We start from the raw sequence: 12,893 nt of genomic DNA, 5'->3' as shown, positions 1-12,893 counted from the left end.
TTCACGCCATTCTCCTGCCTCAGCCTCCCGAGTAACTGGGACTACAGGCGCCCGCCACCGCGCCCGGCTAATTTTTTGTATTTTTAGTAGAGACGGGATTTCACCGTATTAGCCAGGATGGCCTCGATCTCCTAACCTCTTGATCCGCCCGCCTCGGCCTCCCAAAGTGCTAGAATTACAGGCGTGAGCCACCACACCTGGCCTGAGTCCAGATTTCAGTCAGCTCATTTATAAACTCAGATATCTTATTAGGTTGGTGCAAAAGTAATTACGGTTTTTGCCATTAAAAATAATGGCACCAATCTATAGAACTGGAGGGAGAGATGGAGCCCCCAGGAAAGAAGAGCCCCCAGCTTAGCATCTATTTGCCAGTCCAAGCTGTGCATGCAGCAGGGCATGCATGTGATACACGCAGTGTGACCTGTCGAGTCACCTGTGGGGTATGTGAGAGCCCTGCTCACTGAGGCCTTGTCCCCACCTGATACATGGGGCGAGAGGAATTCACCCCAGAGATGGCTGAGACTCAGGGAGGATGCTGTCACTAAATTCCCTGTGCAGGACTTGGCTGAGAACTAGCATTCTGTAGTGTTAGAGTCCTCATGGCCCTGTCCACGTGGGCAGGAAATTCAAAGGCAGACACTGTGTGAGACAAGCTCTGTCAAAAACAAGATGGCCCAAGAACAAGATGGCACCAGAGCAAGATGGCATGGGGTGTTAGAAGGCCTCGGAGCCTCCGCCGCTGCTGAGAATGCACCGTTTTGCTTGGGTTTAGAGGAAGACCTCTTACTGCTCCCACCTGCTAGTATTTTCCTCAATCACAGACCTGTTTCTTGAAAACCCCTTTCCAGTTGATGGCCTGATCTGACCCTTTGTTTCATTAGCTGGTGCCATTATGTTGACTAGAACACGAAAGGATTTTCTGATTTGGTAGAGGAGGAGGAAGCTGATTTTAACTGCTGTACGTTCTATCAGCCTCAACTTTTCTTTTTATTGTAATCTCCATTTTTACAAAAACCCAAAAGTAATCCTAGGGACTTGTATTCTCCAAAGGCAATATGGTGAGAGGCCCGGAGAGCCCCTGGTGTGGAAATCACAATTTGCTTTTGCTACCAACTAACTCTGTGACCTTATTTTCCCCTTGAATAAAATAAGCAGGTTGGACAAGGATCAGCAGCTGCAGACTGGCAGTGTGCAGTCAGTCCCTGACCCTGCTCATGTTCTGTGTGACCTAGACAGTGTTTTGTTTTCTAATTGAATTTAAAGGCCTTTAAACTGGGCAAGCACCGGGCGATGTGCCACAGGCTCCGCCCCTAGCACCCGGCGGGCTTCACACGTTCCTTATCTGCCTAGCATTTGACTCTGCCAACCGTGGTGGGTGTTCTCTGAGTTTCCTTTTATCTGAAATAGGCTGAGAAATTTTGAATTTCTTTGCAACTTCAGGTTTCTTGTGCTTCTGCCTGCCTTGCCCTTTGGGTGTTGGAAGAACTCTTTTTTTTCATTGAAAAAAAAAAAAGTCACATGCCTGCTGTTGGTTAAAAAGCCAACATCTACGCTGGGCGCAGTGGCTCATGCCTGTGATCCCAGCACTTTGGGAGGCCGAGGCGGGTGAATCGCCTGAGGTCAGGAGTTCAAGACCAGCCTGGCCAACATGGTGAAACCCCATCTCTACTAAAAATACAAAAATTAGCAGGCACGATGGAAGGTGCCTGTAATCCTAGCTACTCAAGAAGCTGAGGCGGAAGAATAGCTTGAACCCAGTAAGTGGAGGTTGCAATGAGCCAAGATTGTGCCATTGCACTCCAGCCTGGACAACAAGAGTGAAACTCCATCTCAAAAATAAAAAAATAAAAACAGCCAACATCCAGTTACCCCAAGGCCAGTAGGCCAATAGGTGTTATAAACTCTAAAGCAGCTTAGCTTTGTTTTATTTTTAATATGCTAATGCTACAATGGAAAAATTAATTATAGGATCTCAGGGCTGAGATGTATAAAACTCTTCAGTGTTCAGAACACTGCTTTTCAAAGGGTGTTCCCTGAAGCAGCAGCATCACCATTCCCAACCTCATCCGCTTATGAGGAGGATTCAGTGGCTAATATTTGCAAAGTATACTGCAGTGGTTCTTCAGCTGGAGCCAGCATCAGAATTACTGCACAGCTTGTTGACACAGATTGCTGTTCCCAGCCTCAGTTTCTGATACAGTAGGACTGAGAAGGGCCCCGACTCTGTGTTTCTGAGGTGGTGGCCCCAGGTGAGGCTGCTGCTGCAGGTCTGGGGCCACACTTGCAAACCACTGTCGGGGAGGCACTCTCCTCTGTGTGGTCGCAACATGGGGAAGCAAGAGGGCAGGGATTACTATTTTATATAGCATGGTCAGGGCAAAGCTTCTGGGCAAGATGGCTCTTAGAGACCTGAGAAAAGGAGGAGGGAGATATGCAACTCCCTGGGGAGGACAGACGGGGAGTGCACAGCCCAGAAGGGGGGTGTGCTTGCTGGGTTAGAGGAGCAGCAGGGAGGCCAGTGTGGCTGAAGTGGAGCGATGGGGCGGGGAGGGGCAGGTGATGTGGTCTGAGGGATGCGGGAGGGGTGGAAATCACATGGGTCACTGTGAAAGACTTTGCTTTCACTCTGAGTGGAACAGGAGCCCTTGGAGGGGCACGTGTGGTGTGAAATTAGCTATCACCCAGAGTGATTGTGATTTTATGATGCTGCCTCTTCTGAACTGACCGTATTTCAGGGCAAAGAGCTGGCCCTTGTTGCTGAATACAAGTTCTTCCTTCCAAAGTAATTCAAGGTGAAAACAGTATACAGTGAAGGATGGAATTAGAAAATCAGATCACCATTTTGCACTCCCTACAAAACCTTTAGGGAAAATGTTGGTGAACAACTCTAGGATGGGAGGCTGAGGCGCCGCCGCTTTGCTCCATGGGTCAGTGGTAGCGTCATTCCCAGTAGGTGACCTCCTGCGGGGCAGCACCGTGACGCACAGGCACCAGCTGCGATACGCTCTTCCAAAAACCTGAACCTGGGTCTCACCAGACATTAGGTGGAGCTTCCAGTTTAGAGATTAAACCAGGGCATGAAGGAACATGTGAACGACATCACGGGACAGTCACATAAAACCAGCGGTTTCTTCAAGTTCCATGGGGAAAGAGGGTCGGGGGAAGTCTGCTCTAGACTGAAGGAGAATTAAGATATGTAATATGTGGATCTTGTTTGGATCCTGATTTAAAAAAAAAACTATAAAGAGACTTTTTTGAAGTAATTGAGTAGGTTGGACACAGACTAGATATTGAATAATATTAAAGAATTATTGTTAATTTTGTTAGATGTGAAAATGTCTTTTTTAGGAGAGACATATTTGTATTTAAAAGTAGAATGACATGATTTCAGGAATCTGATTTAAAATATTACAGAGAAGAGAGGGAAAGAGGCAGAAGAACCAAAAGGGCAACATATCCAAAATATTCATGACATGATTCTCTCTTCTTTGTGAATATATGAACATTCAAAAGAAAAGTGTTTTTAAATCCAGATGCAAGAGAAGATGGGAAAATGAGAGAAGAAGAGAAAAGAAGACTTACTTGGAAAGACTAAGTTGCTAATAATTCTTCTCTATTTAGAAGTATTATGCCAAAGAGTAAAATATATTTACTATTACTAGATGTCACACAGTAGTGATGCTGTGAACTGGTATTGAGATCTATTCTGTTTACCATACGCCCAGCCCCTGATTCCCTGATTGCTTGCCAAGCTCATAAAATAATGACAATTGATGATGACACTGATGATGAGAAATAAAAGTCAGATCATCTTCCCTGCCCTCCGACAGCTGGGGAACTGAGAGCATGCTGTTATGGGACAGAGCTTGAAGTAATTTAGGGCTCGGCTGTTTGGCCACATGCCTCGGAGGTTTCAAATCTGAAGGCCTGTGAGGCTCCATTTGCTCAAAAGCGTGATATAATTCTACAAACATGGTCACTCACTGCGTATGATTTTGATCCGTAGAATGGATAGCACCAGAAAAACTGAGGATTGGGAATTGTCACTTTGGAACTGGTTGTTGGAAAACCTGGGTGGTAAGCTGTGCTCTCCACCTTAAAGCCACCCTGTCCCGTCTCTGCTCCTTCAGTTAGCTTGACAATGAACAACAGACCTGAAAGGAAAGAATTCCAGTGGATGGGAGGGGATTCTGATGTTTGAAGTCGTTCCTCTCCTTGGCTTTCTCTGCTGTTTTTAAATACTAGGAGACTGAAAGTGTCATTAATTTAAATTCTTAAGCATGTGCTGCTGAGCATCAGTCTTTGTTTTTACACAGAAGAGATTGCTGAGCATTCAAATCCCTGTTCCTCATTTGAGTCATTATAATGTTAGTTTTAAAGAAAAAACAGAAGGTAGTAAAATCTGAAAAGAAACTGAACTCTGTGGCTCATGTTTGGTTTTATGGTTGATTTTCCTCAAATTATTATCCACATATAAATATATAGAACCATGATGTGGACTTTGATGAGTTCCCACGTAGGGTGCCGGGCCAGCTTCTACAGAGTCACTGGCCAGTCTCTTCCATGGTGACTATAATTGATTGGGGGGCACTGGTAAAGTGACTGAACTAGGGAGGAAAAAATGTTCACATTTATTCATGCGACAAGTATCTGAGCTTCTGGTGTGTGTCAGGCACAGTCCTAGGCTCTGAGGAGCAGCAGTAGGCAAAACCTGAAAAGCCCTTCCCTCCTTGGAGCTTAGATTCTGGTGGGGCACAGAGGAGGCCATACCTGAAGATAGCTTCTGCCTGCAGCAGAGATATGGGGTAATACAGGGGAAGCTGGCTTCAGCTCCCATCTTGTTTATTTCTTAACTGTGGGATCTTGGACCAGTCCCTTAATCACCCTGAGTTTCAGGGTCCTCTCATGTAAAATGAGCATTAAAAACAATACCTACATAATACAGTCATTGTGCAGATTAAATGAATTTAACACAGGAAAAATACCTCCCAAAGCATTTAGCTTTCAGCAAGTGAGAGCTGTTACTTCGCCTAGTAGTGCAGACATGATAGGTATTCAATTGGTAGTTAATTCAGTATTTCTGCATTTGAGCATTTAATGCCTATGTCTACATGTCTGGCAGACACTGGAATGTGATTTGTAAGAAATACTTAAAATTTCTCTGTTTTTTAAAATTTTCCCTTTCTCTAAATGGAGAAAACTACTCTTTCAGATTCTTCTGACCATTACTTTGGGTTGGCAGATCCTAAGTTAAGAGGAAAGAGGACGCCTTCCACGCGGAAGGGGAGATGTAGAGCTGTAATGGCAAGCTTTTACAGGAATACCCTCAAATGCTATTTGGGTCTCCATGACTGGCAATTTCAGGCCCTTCTGCTATAATAAGGAATTCCACAATCACATGTCCCAAAGTCTATTTTCCAGGATTCTGGGGGCCATGCGTCCTTGCCTGTGGCAGTAATTATTGAGTGGTGTGTTCACTTCCAGGCCCACTTGGGGAGTGACAGGAAGGAGGGAGGGTGCAGGGAAGAGGAGAGAGGCTCGCATGGTGGTCTGGGAGATGGTGAGGCCAGCGAGTAAGAGGAAGCTCCCTGCAGTTCTCCACTTTGCCAGGGAGGGGCGCAGTCCAGGATGATGGGGCTGTCTTCAGAGGACTGTGGTGGTCTCCAGGTGGGTGTCAGCAGCTTAGGGCCAAGCCTGAACCAGGTTGGTGGAAGCCCAGCGAGGCAGGCAGCATGGCCAGCCCTCCAGTCTCTGTTGAGAAAACTGCACCTCCTTCCTTTCCACATTTTCCCGCTGCTGGTGGAAATGGGCTTCTAGTCTATTGGATGATGGAGGAGGGCTGGGAGAGGGGAGGAGAGGGGTGATCCACTTGTAAGGACAGCGGGTTTGGAGAAGTGGCCTCTTTGAATCCTGTGTGTTCTGGGGCTGGGCAGGGCGGTGGGATCCCCAAGCCCCGGTGTCCTAGTGGCCCAGTCGGCCTTCGCAGAGGCTTCCCCTTGGGAGAGGATGGCCGGGCCGTTCAGCAGTGGCCTCTGGAAGGATTTCTCGTTCCGCAGGCCTGTTCCAGGAATTGTGTTTAATTTAGGAGCCTGAGCAGTGTGGGCAGACGCTGTCCTTTCCTGAGCCCGTCTCACCTCCCTCTGCCAGTGAGTTGTGCAGACTTGCCCTGTCCCGAGAGTGGCCTTGGGCCTGCAGAGTGCCCGGGGCAGCTTAGCAGGGTGGCCTCATGTCTGTGAGGCCAGCGACACATAGGAAGCCTTCCGTGGCTTCAGTATGAGCCAGGTGCGCTCGAGTGCTTCGTGAGTGTCGTTTTCTCATGACCACCTCATGTGGTAGGTACGATCGTTACCTACCTTGGCTGCAAGGACACAGGCTCAGAGCGGCTGAGTAACTTCACACCGCCCAGCAGAGGCCGGGGAGGAATCTAACCCCCACCTCTAGGCCAGAGCGGGCGCCTCATCCCATACCCTGCATGGCACGCTTTGTTCCGCGGGCACAATTCTGTGAATTCCTGTCCTCTGGCTTAAGTATTGTCAGTCAACTTAATATATTCCTTTGTTACTTGCCAACTCCAGTCCAGAAAAATCCTGTACTCTCATTTCAGAGAAGCCAGGAGCACTTAGCAATCCCAAGAAAATGTATATTCTCTCTATGGTCATAAGCATTCAAGAGTTTCTTAAACGTATTTAAGGAAGAATAAGTGTTGTGTTTTATTCATTTGTGCATTATGGGAGGATGGGCCTTTTTTTTTCAAAGATTGGCTTCAAAAGGTTTTTAAAATTTTATTTATAATCACTGAATCCAATGAACAGTTAGATCGGTGTGTGTGTTTGTGGGGGATGAGGGAGGTGGGGGGAGAATGTTAAAACTTTGGCCACCCCTGGTATTTCTGGTGGGCAGATGCCTTAGCCGCTGGAGCTGGGGCCAAGCCCTGCTCAGTAGCACAGCTCGGACCTTTGCGTGCTCCCTGGGGCTCCTCCCTGGGTGCTGCAGTGTTTTGACAGACGGTCCCTTGAGCTTGGCAGTGCCCTGTGAGGCTGGGACCTGGTCCAGGCTGGCCGGGGAAGAGAAGCAGGGACAGGATGAGAGAGTGGGGAGTAAGAAGGGGAGGGAGGGGGTGCAGCTTCGGAGATGGGCTTCACGGGAGGCCTCGTGTGAGCCTGTGTGATGGGCAGGACCTCCTGACCTCCGCCTCAGAGTTCAACCAGAGAAGAGGAAACAACAGGAGATATTTAGAGATTTTCTGCGAGGAATTGGCCCACACGACTGTGAGGGGTGGCCAGGCTGACATCCATGAGGGGCCAGCGGGAGGGCCAGCCATCAGGACTCCAGGGCATGGGGGCGGGCACTGCCGTCCACAGGTGGAATCTTCTTCCTCCTCAAGGAAGCCTCGGCCCTATGTTCAGGTCTTTCAACAGATGAGGCGAGACCCACCCAAATTATCTAGAAGCCCCTCGCTCAAAGTCAGCTCTCTCCTGGCAGCACCGGGGTTCCTGTTTGAGCAAATGCCTAAGACTGCAGCCCCGCCACGTGACACATCAAACCCCCACACCCCACTCCCTCAGGCCTTCCTCCTCCGTCACATAAAGTGTCTACCCTGGGAAGCGCAATGTGCTTTTCCTCCTGAAAATTTGTAAGAATCTGACGACTTCCGAAAAGCGTATCTCCCAGAGCTGTGGCCTCCTAACAATGCCACTTTTCTATCAAAGCCTCCGGGCGGCCTCTGTGCTCAGACTTAGTCATGGTCCCTGTTGATTCACTAAACAAATGCCTCAGTTCAGTCTCAGCTACGTACTGTTTCATTCTCACAACCCTCAGTAATCTCTCTGCTTATCGACAAAGTATATCTAGTTGCCAAGAGTAGCTTGTAAGCATTCTTCATTAAGGTGTTAGGGGAAAAGTAACGGTTGTTTGTTTGGTTGGTTGTTTTTTAGAGACAGGATCTCACCATGTCGAATGAGACCAATGAGCGACTTGGCAATAATTATATTGTTATGCAGGTTGGGCATCCCTAATCAGAACATCTGAAATCTGAAATGCTCTAGAATCTGAAACTTTTTGAGCACCTAAATGACACCACAAGTAGAAAATTTCACACATGACCTTATATGATGGGTCTCAGTCAAAACTTTGTTTCATGCACAAAATTATTCAAAATCTCATATAAAATTACCTTCAGGCTATGTATATAAGATTTATATGAAACATAAATGAATTTTGTTTTTAGACTTGGGTCCCTTGCCCAAGATATCTCGTTATGTATATGCAAGTATTCCAAAATCTGGAAAAATAATGCACGAGATTGTAACACATAGCACCTATGTTCTAGCACTATATGCTGTTTAGTGCTCACAACACCCCATTTTGCAGACAAAAAAACTGAGGCACAGAACTCCTAACTGACTGAACCAAGGTCACAGCTTCTATGTACCAGGAGCAGGATTTGAACTTGGGCACTCTAGCTACGGAGTCCAGGCTTTTAACCACAGCAGTGGAAGTGCTACATGCTGGCCACTTGAGATAGTTTAATGTTTGAATCTTTGATGCATCACCCAAGATACTTTCTTGTGGCCCTTAAATGTTTTACATAATCAGGGAGAGTCTGGCTGCCCATGAATGAAAATCTACTAAAAGGATTTGGGTTTGGTTCCATTGGCAAAGAAATTGATTCTAGTAAGTACCGGGACACAGCTGCCAGCCAAGGTCTTCCACGGGCACTGTGGACACCTGCCTGTGAGTGATCTACTCTCCACAGTAGCCAGGCCCTGAAGGGGCAGTTGGATTGGGGACATCATTCCCTGCCTTTCAAGCCCAAGGCCAGTGGCCCCTGGCCAGGCGACTGGAACCATCTTCAAGGTGTGGGAGCTGCTGCACCAAATGCTTCTGCTTGCAGAGCCCAGCAAAAACTATCCACCTGCAGTCCCCGTCCCTCCCAGCAGAAACGATCCACCTGCAGTCCCCGTCCCTCCCAGCAGAAACGATCCACCTGCAGTCCCCGTCCCTCCCAGCAGAAACGATCCACCTGCAGTCCCCGTCCCTCCTGATGGATGCCGGGACTCAAGGCTGAAATGTCCTCATGTGTTCTTTCCTCTCCCACTTCCAAAAAAACTGATTTGTCATCTTCCAGAGAAACTTGTGATTAATGGCAATCCTCAAGTGCCTGCAGTTTCTTAATCATTGCTTTCTTTTACAAAAACATCTTTATAGCCACCTTCAGAATATAGTTAGATTCAAGCAGTTTGGAAAGATTTACTGGTGAGTCAAGACAAAAAAAGGTAGTTAACTGCAGATGGCCATACCTGTGTCCTTACATCAAGCCGCTGTGTTTTTCCATTGCCTAGGCAGCAATGCTAAAATACCAAGTCTCTGCTGGAGTGCTCTGCATTTTTCTACCTGCTGAAATAAAGTCAAGGCTCTGCTAGGATTCCTAGCAAAAACAGAAGGAGTGGAGAGGTCAGAAAATTATTCCACTTCTCCAGCTCCCACCGATATGTCTGTGAGGCAAAACATGCTTACAGTTTTGGAGAAATGCGGTGAGCCAGTGCTTCTCAAGGAGTTGTCTGGGGAGCTCATTAAGATGCAGATGCTGATTCTCTAGGTCTGGGTGGGGCCTAAGATGCTGCATTTCTAACAAGCTCGCATGTGATCGCATGCGATACCGACACAGCAGGTTCACACGCTACACTTCAGGCAGCAAAGGGTTAGGGGCCACGCCGACCACTTGTTTACAGGAGAGGATTGAGACAACCTTTGGAGGAAAAGCTATGACCATTTAATAATTGTCATATTGACAGTCACACTAAGAGATGTGCCAGCCACAGCAACTCACTTGTAGCAAGAGGAGACTGAAGCCAGACTGGTCCAGCAAGGGAGCATTTTCCCTGCTCATCCGCAAACCTAGAACCTGGTCTGGGAAGTGGCCTCATGATCCCTTGTGTGACATCACATCAGTGTAGATTAGGATGTGGGGTTAGACATCCCAAAGGGAGACTCTGGTAAAAGAAGTGTAGTTGCAGATATTTTCATTGTATCATGTCACTAAAGAGAGGTATTGAAGAGAAAAACAGCAAGCAATATATGTCTGCTGTACCAGCAAACCACTGATACGACGCCATCATGCTGTTTCCACATTATCTCTTTGACTTTGTTTAAAGGTTACCTGGATGGCCAAGTGCTGAATTTCCTTATCTGATACTAGCCCATGCTGAGCTTCCAACACTGAATTTACCGTGGCTAATATAGATTTCTGGTTTCCATAGCAGCCAATTTACTGCTTGTGCTTAATAAATGAAAACAAGACCTACAACTGTTAGTCTTTTCTTAAAAGACCTATTTTTCTTTATTATTTTTGAGAGCAGAAATGCCAGATCTGGACCCTGCTAGGTAGTGATCTTTTAAGTGAACCTGACCTATGGTACCAAAAGGAACAGCATTGCAGCAAATGGCTGAGAGTGAGCCATTTAATCTTGTTTTCCTAATTAAATGGTAGAAACCTCTTTATAAGCAATAATCAGTGAAATCTGGTTTCTCTCTTGTTCACTGATAGCTATGATGATGATCTGTTTGCTTGTGGCTGAGCAGCAATGGAAATTCTGATGGCATTATTATTTTTTTCCAGCAGATGAGCTGCTGTAGGAATTGGCTGGCATGGTGCCCTCTCCTTGTTAGGGCTGGTAATATCCTTGTAGCCAAGCATAATTCATCTGTACTCTCTCTAGTCTGCTTCCCTTATTGCCTTCTGACCTCCTACCTCTGCTGTGGTCTCTAGACACCCAGCAGATGAGCTGTCACAGCTGATCCATGAAGCCCACCATCCAAACAGCCTCCAACACACAGGCATAAAAAGTGTTCTCTCCGAAGGGTCTGTCTTCTTCCTCTTCTTCTTCTTCCCCCTCCTCCTCCTTCCCCTTCTTCTTCTTACCTTATGTTTGAAAGAGCAAGCAAGCAAGAAGCCTTTAGAGAATACTGCATATTGCCGGAGAATCACAAATAAATGTACATGCTCTGTAGGGAAAATAATATATATAAAACCCAGCTGCTTTTTCTACTATAAAGGGCTTTCATTATGGTGATTCACGTAGTAGTAAGTCTGTATTGGTTGTCACTTGGGTGCCACAGATTAAAGTTTTCTGATCATCTTTTTGACTCAAGGTCAAAGTAAAAGAATAGATTCTTGCAAATAAGAGGGGCCGTGGTCATTTGTTGAAAATAGACACTGTTTTTGGTTTTGGAGCTACAAAGATGAATTAGACATGGGCCTTGCCCGGGGGTGGTGTCCAATAGAGACAGAGAAAGGATGCATGACTCACCCGTGTTGCAGTGGCCCACAGAACTCCCACGTGGAGAAGGGGCTTTCTGGTAGGGTCATTGCTATATGATCTGAGTCAGCCTTATTGTTGGTTTTTGTCTTGTTTAATAGATAAGCTGAGACTTAGCTCAGTCTCCCTCTGTCTCACAGTGTGAGTAGGTTGCCTGGAACTCGGAGTGCTCAAGGAGCCCTGGAGTGAGAACCAGAAGAAGGGGTGGGTGGTGCATATGGGTAGGAGTGAGTATATGGGCATGCCTGGTGTCCTGTCTAGAGGTCGAGATGGCCCCTAATACAGCATCATGGACAGGAAGGAATGGCGACAGGATGGGCACGAGGGGGGAACGTGCTGGACAGCAAGCTCAGTGACGTCTGGAGAGCAGAGGAAGCAGGAACAATGGGCGATCTGTCCCATAGGCAGTACCATTTCCTGGTTTCTGAGCTAAGCTCCTCTGAATTATAGCATCCCTTCGTCATCGACTAGCCCTGTGGCCTTGAACAACCGTCTCACTTCCCTTCCCAGTTGGAGCCTCAACGCGCCCGTAAAACACTGGCACACCACATAGGGCACTTGTGGTGGGCAGCAGATGAAAACAATTTCAGTCGTTGGTGGGTTAAGCAGTGCACTGGCCCAGGTGCACCCAGGACTTCTCGGGCTGTCGAGCAGGGCACTCATCTCTCTCTCATTGGTTCTGTGTTCTAGGAATAGAGCTGTGCCCCCCTGGAAAACGGTTCATGATTACGATGGTGGCGAGCTTCGTGGCCATGGCGGGCCAGTTCCTCATGCCTGGGCTAGCCGCCCTGTGCCGGGATTGGCAGGTGCTGCAGGCCCTCATCATCTGCCCCTTCCTGCTCATGCTGCTCTACTGGTCGTGAGTACACTCTGCACAGCGCCCTGGGCTGGTGCGACTGCACATGCTTCCTGAAGGCCCGGCCCCGGGCAGGACACACAATCCCCACACTTCCCACTAGTTGCAGCTTGTGGTTCTGTCTGAGAAGGTTTTCCTCTCTTTTTAAAAAATTTTATTGTTTAAACTTTCTGTCTTGGAAAACTGTTCAAATATACACAAAAATAGAAGAGTGGAATGAGCCCATCACCCAGCTCCAAAAATCTGCAAATGCACTGGCCAGTCTGGCTCACCCCTTCTTGCTACCCACCCCACGGGGTTATTCTGACATGAATTTTTATGAATGGATTGCAGGGAGGTGGAGGTCTTGTGTTAGGAGGGGGGATTTGGAGATATTAAAGGAGTGATTTACAAAAGTCCCCCTATCTCTTCTAGGCGAGGGGTGGGCAACCTTCAGCCTGTGGGCCACATCAGGCCCACTGTCTGTTTTTGTAAATAAAGTTTTATTGGAACACAGCCATGCTCGTGTGTTTACATAGGTATTACCTGTGGCTGCTTTCTGGCTATTCACAGAGTTGAGTGGATGCAGCAGGTTGGTATGGTATAAAGCTGAAAATATTTACTATCTGGTCCTTTACAAAAAATAGCTTGCCCACCCCTGCTCAATATCAGTCTAATATGCCTTTTTGAACTATGGGTAACCTTAAGTCTTTTGACCTGCTAGCTTTGCCGGCAGTACG

The 12,893-nt window shown here is 47.3% G+C and overlaps 1 protein-coding gene across 18 annotated transcripts in view, besides 2 other annotated features; it reads left to right on the top strand.

The window, feature by feature from the left end:
* SLC22A23 (solute carrier family 22 member 23) overlaps positions 1-12,893 on the top strand; it is a 188,078-nt gene that overhangs the window by 121,040 nt on the left and 54,145 nt on the right. For 12 of the 18 annotated variants that reach the window (NR_168069.1, NM_015482.2, XM_011514801.3 and 9 more), the window contains one exon: positions 12,009-12,177. Coding sequence is in view for 16 of the 18 variants with exons in the window: in NM_015482.2 (NP_056297.1) it covers positions 12,009-12,177 (169 nt within the window). In the remaining 2 variants the exon portion in view is untranslated. Of the gene's footprint in view, positions 1-11,860; positions 11,915-12,008; positions 12,670-12,692; positions 12,746-12,893 lie in introns of those variants that run through there. The other 6 variants (NM_001382318.1, NM_001382319.1, NM_001382320.1 and 3 more) reach the window with 4 other exon arrangements.
* Positions 10,782-11,981: an enhancer, noted in NCBI's record as "CDK7 strongly-dependent group 2 enhancer chr6:3324264-3325463 (GRCh37/hg19 assembly coordinates)". NCBI's record gives its function as "activates an origin of replication core promoter dependent on BRD2, BRD4, P300/CBP, MED14 and CDK7 cofactors, with strong dependence on CDK7, by STARR-seq in HCT116 cells {active_cell/tissue: HCT116}" and the evidence as "EXISTENCE:reporter gene assay evidence [ECO:0000049][PMID:35650434]".
* Positions 11,199-11,248: an enhancer, noted in NCBI's record as "active region_23889". NCBI's record gives its function as "activates an Ori minimal core promoter by ATAC-STARR-seq in GM12878 lymphoblastoid cells {active_cell/tissue: GM12878}" and the evidence as "EXISTENCE:reporter gene assay evidence [ECO:0000049][PMID:35858748]".

Source organism: Homo sapiens, chromosome 6 (assembly GCF_000001405.40).
Source record: "Homo sapiens chromosome 6, GRCh38.p14 Primary Assembly".
In the NCBI taxonomy this organism is placed as follows: Eukaryota; Metazoa; Chordata; class Mammalia; order Primates; family Hominidae; genus Homo; species Homo sapiens.
The sequence above is the reverse complement of the archived record's forward strand: the minus strand, read 5'-3'. Positions and strand labels throughout refer to the sequence as shown.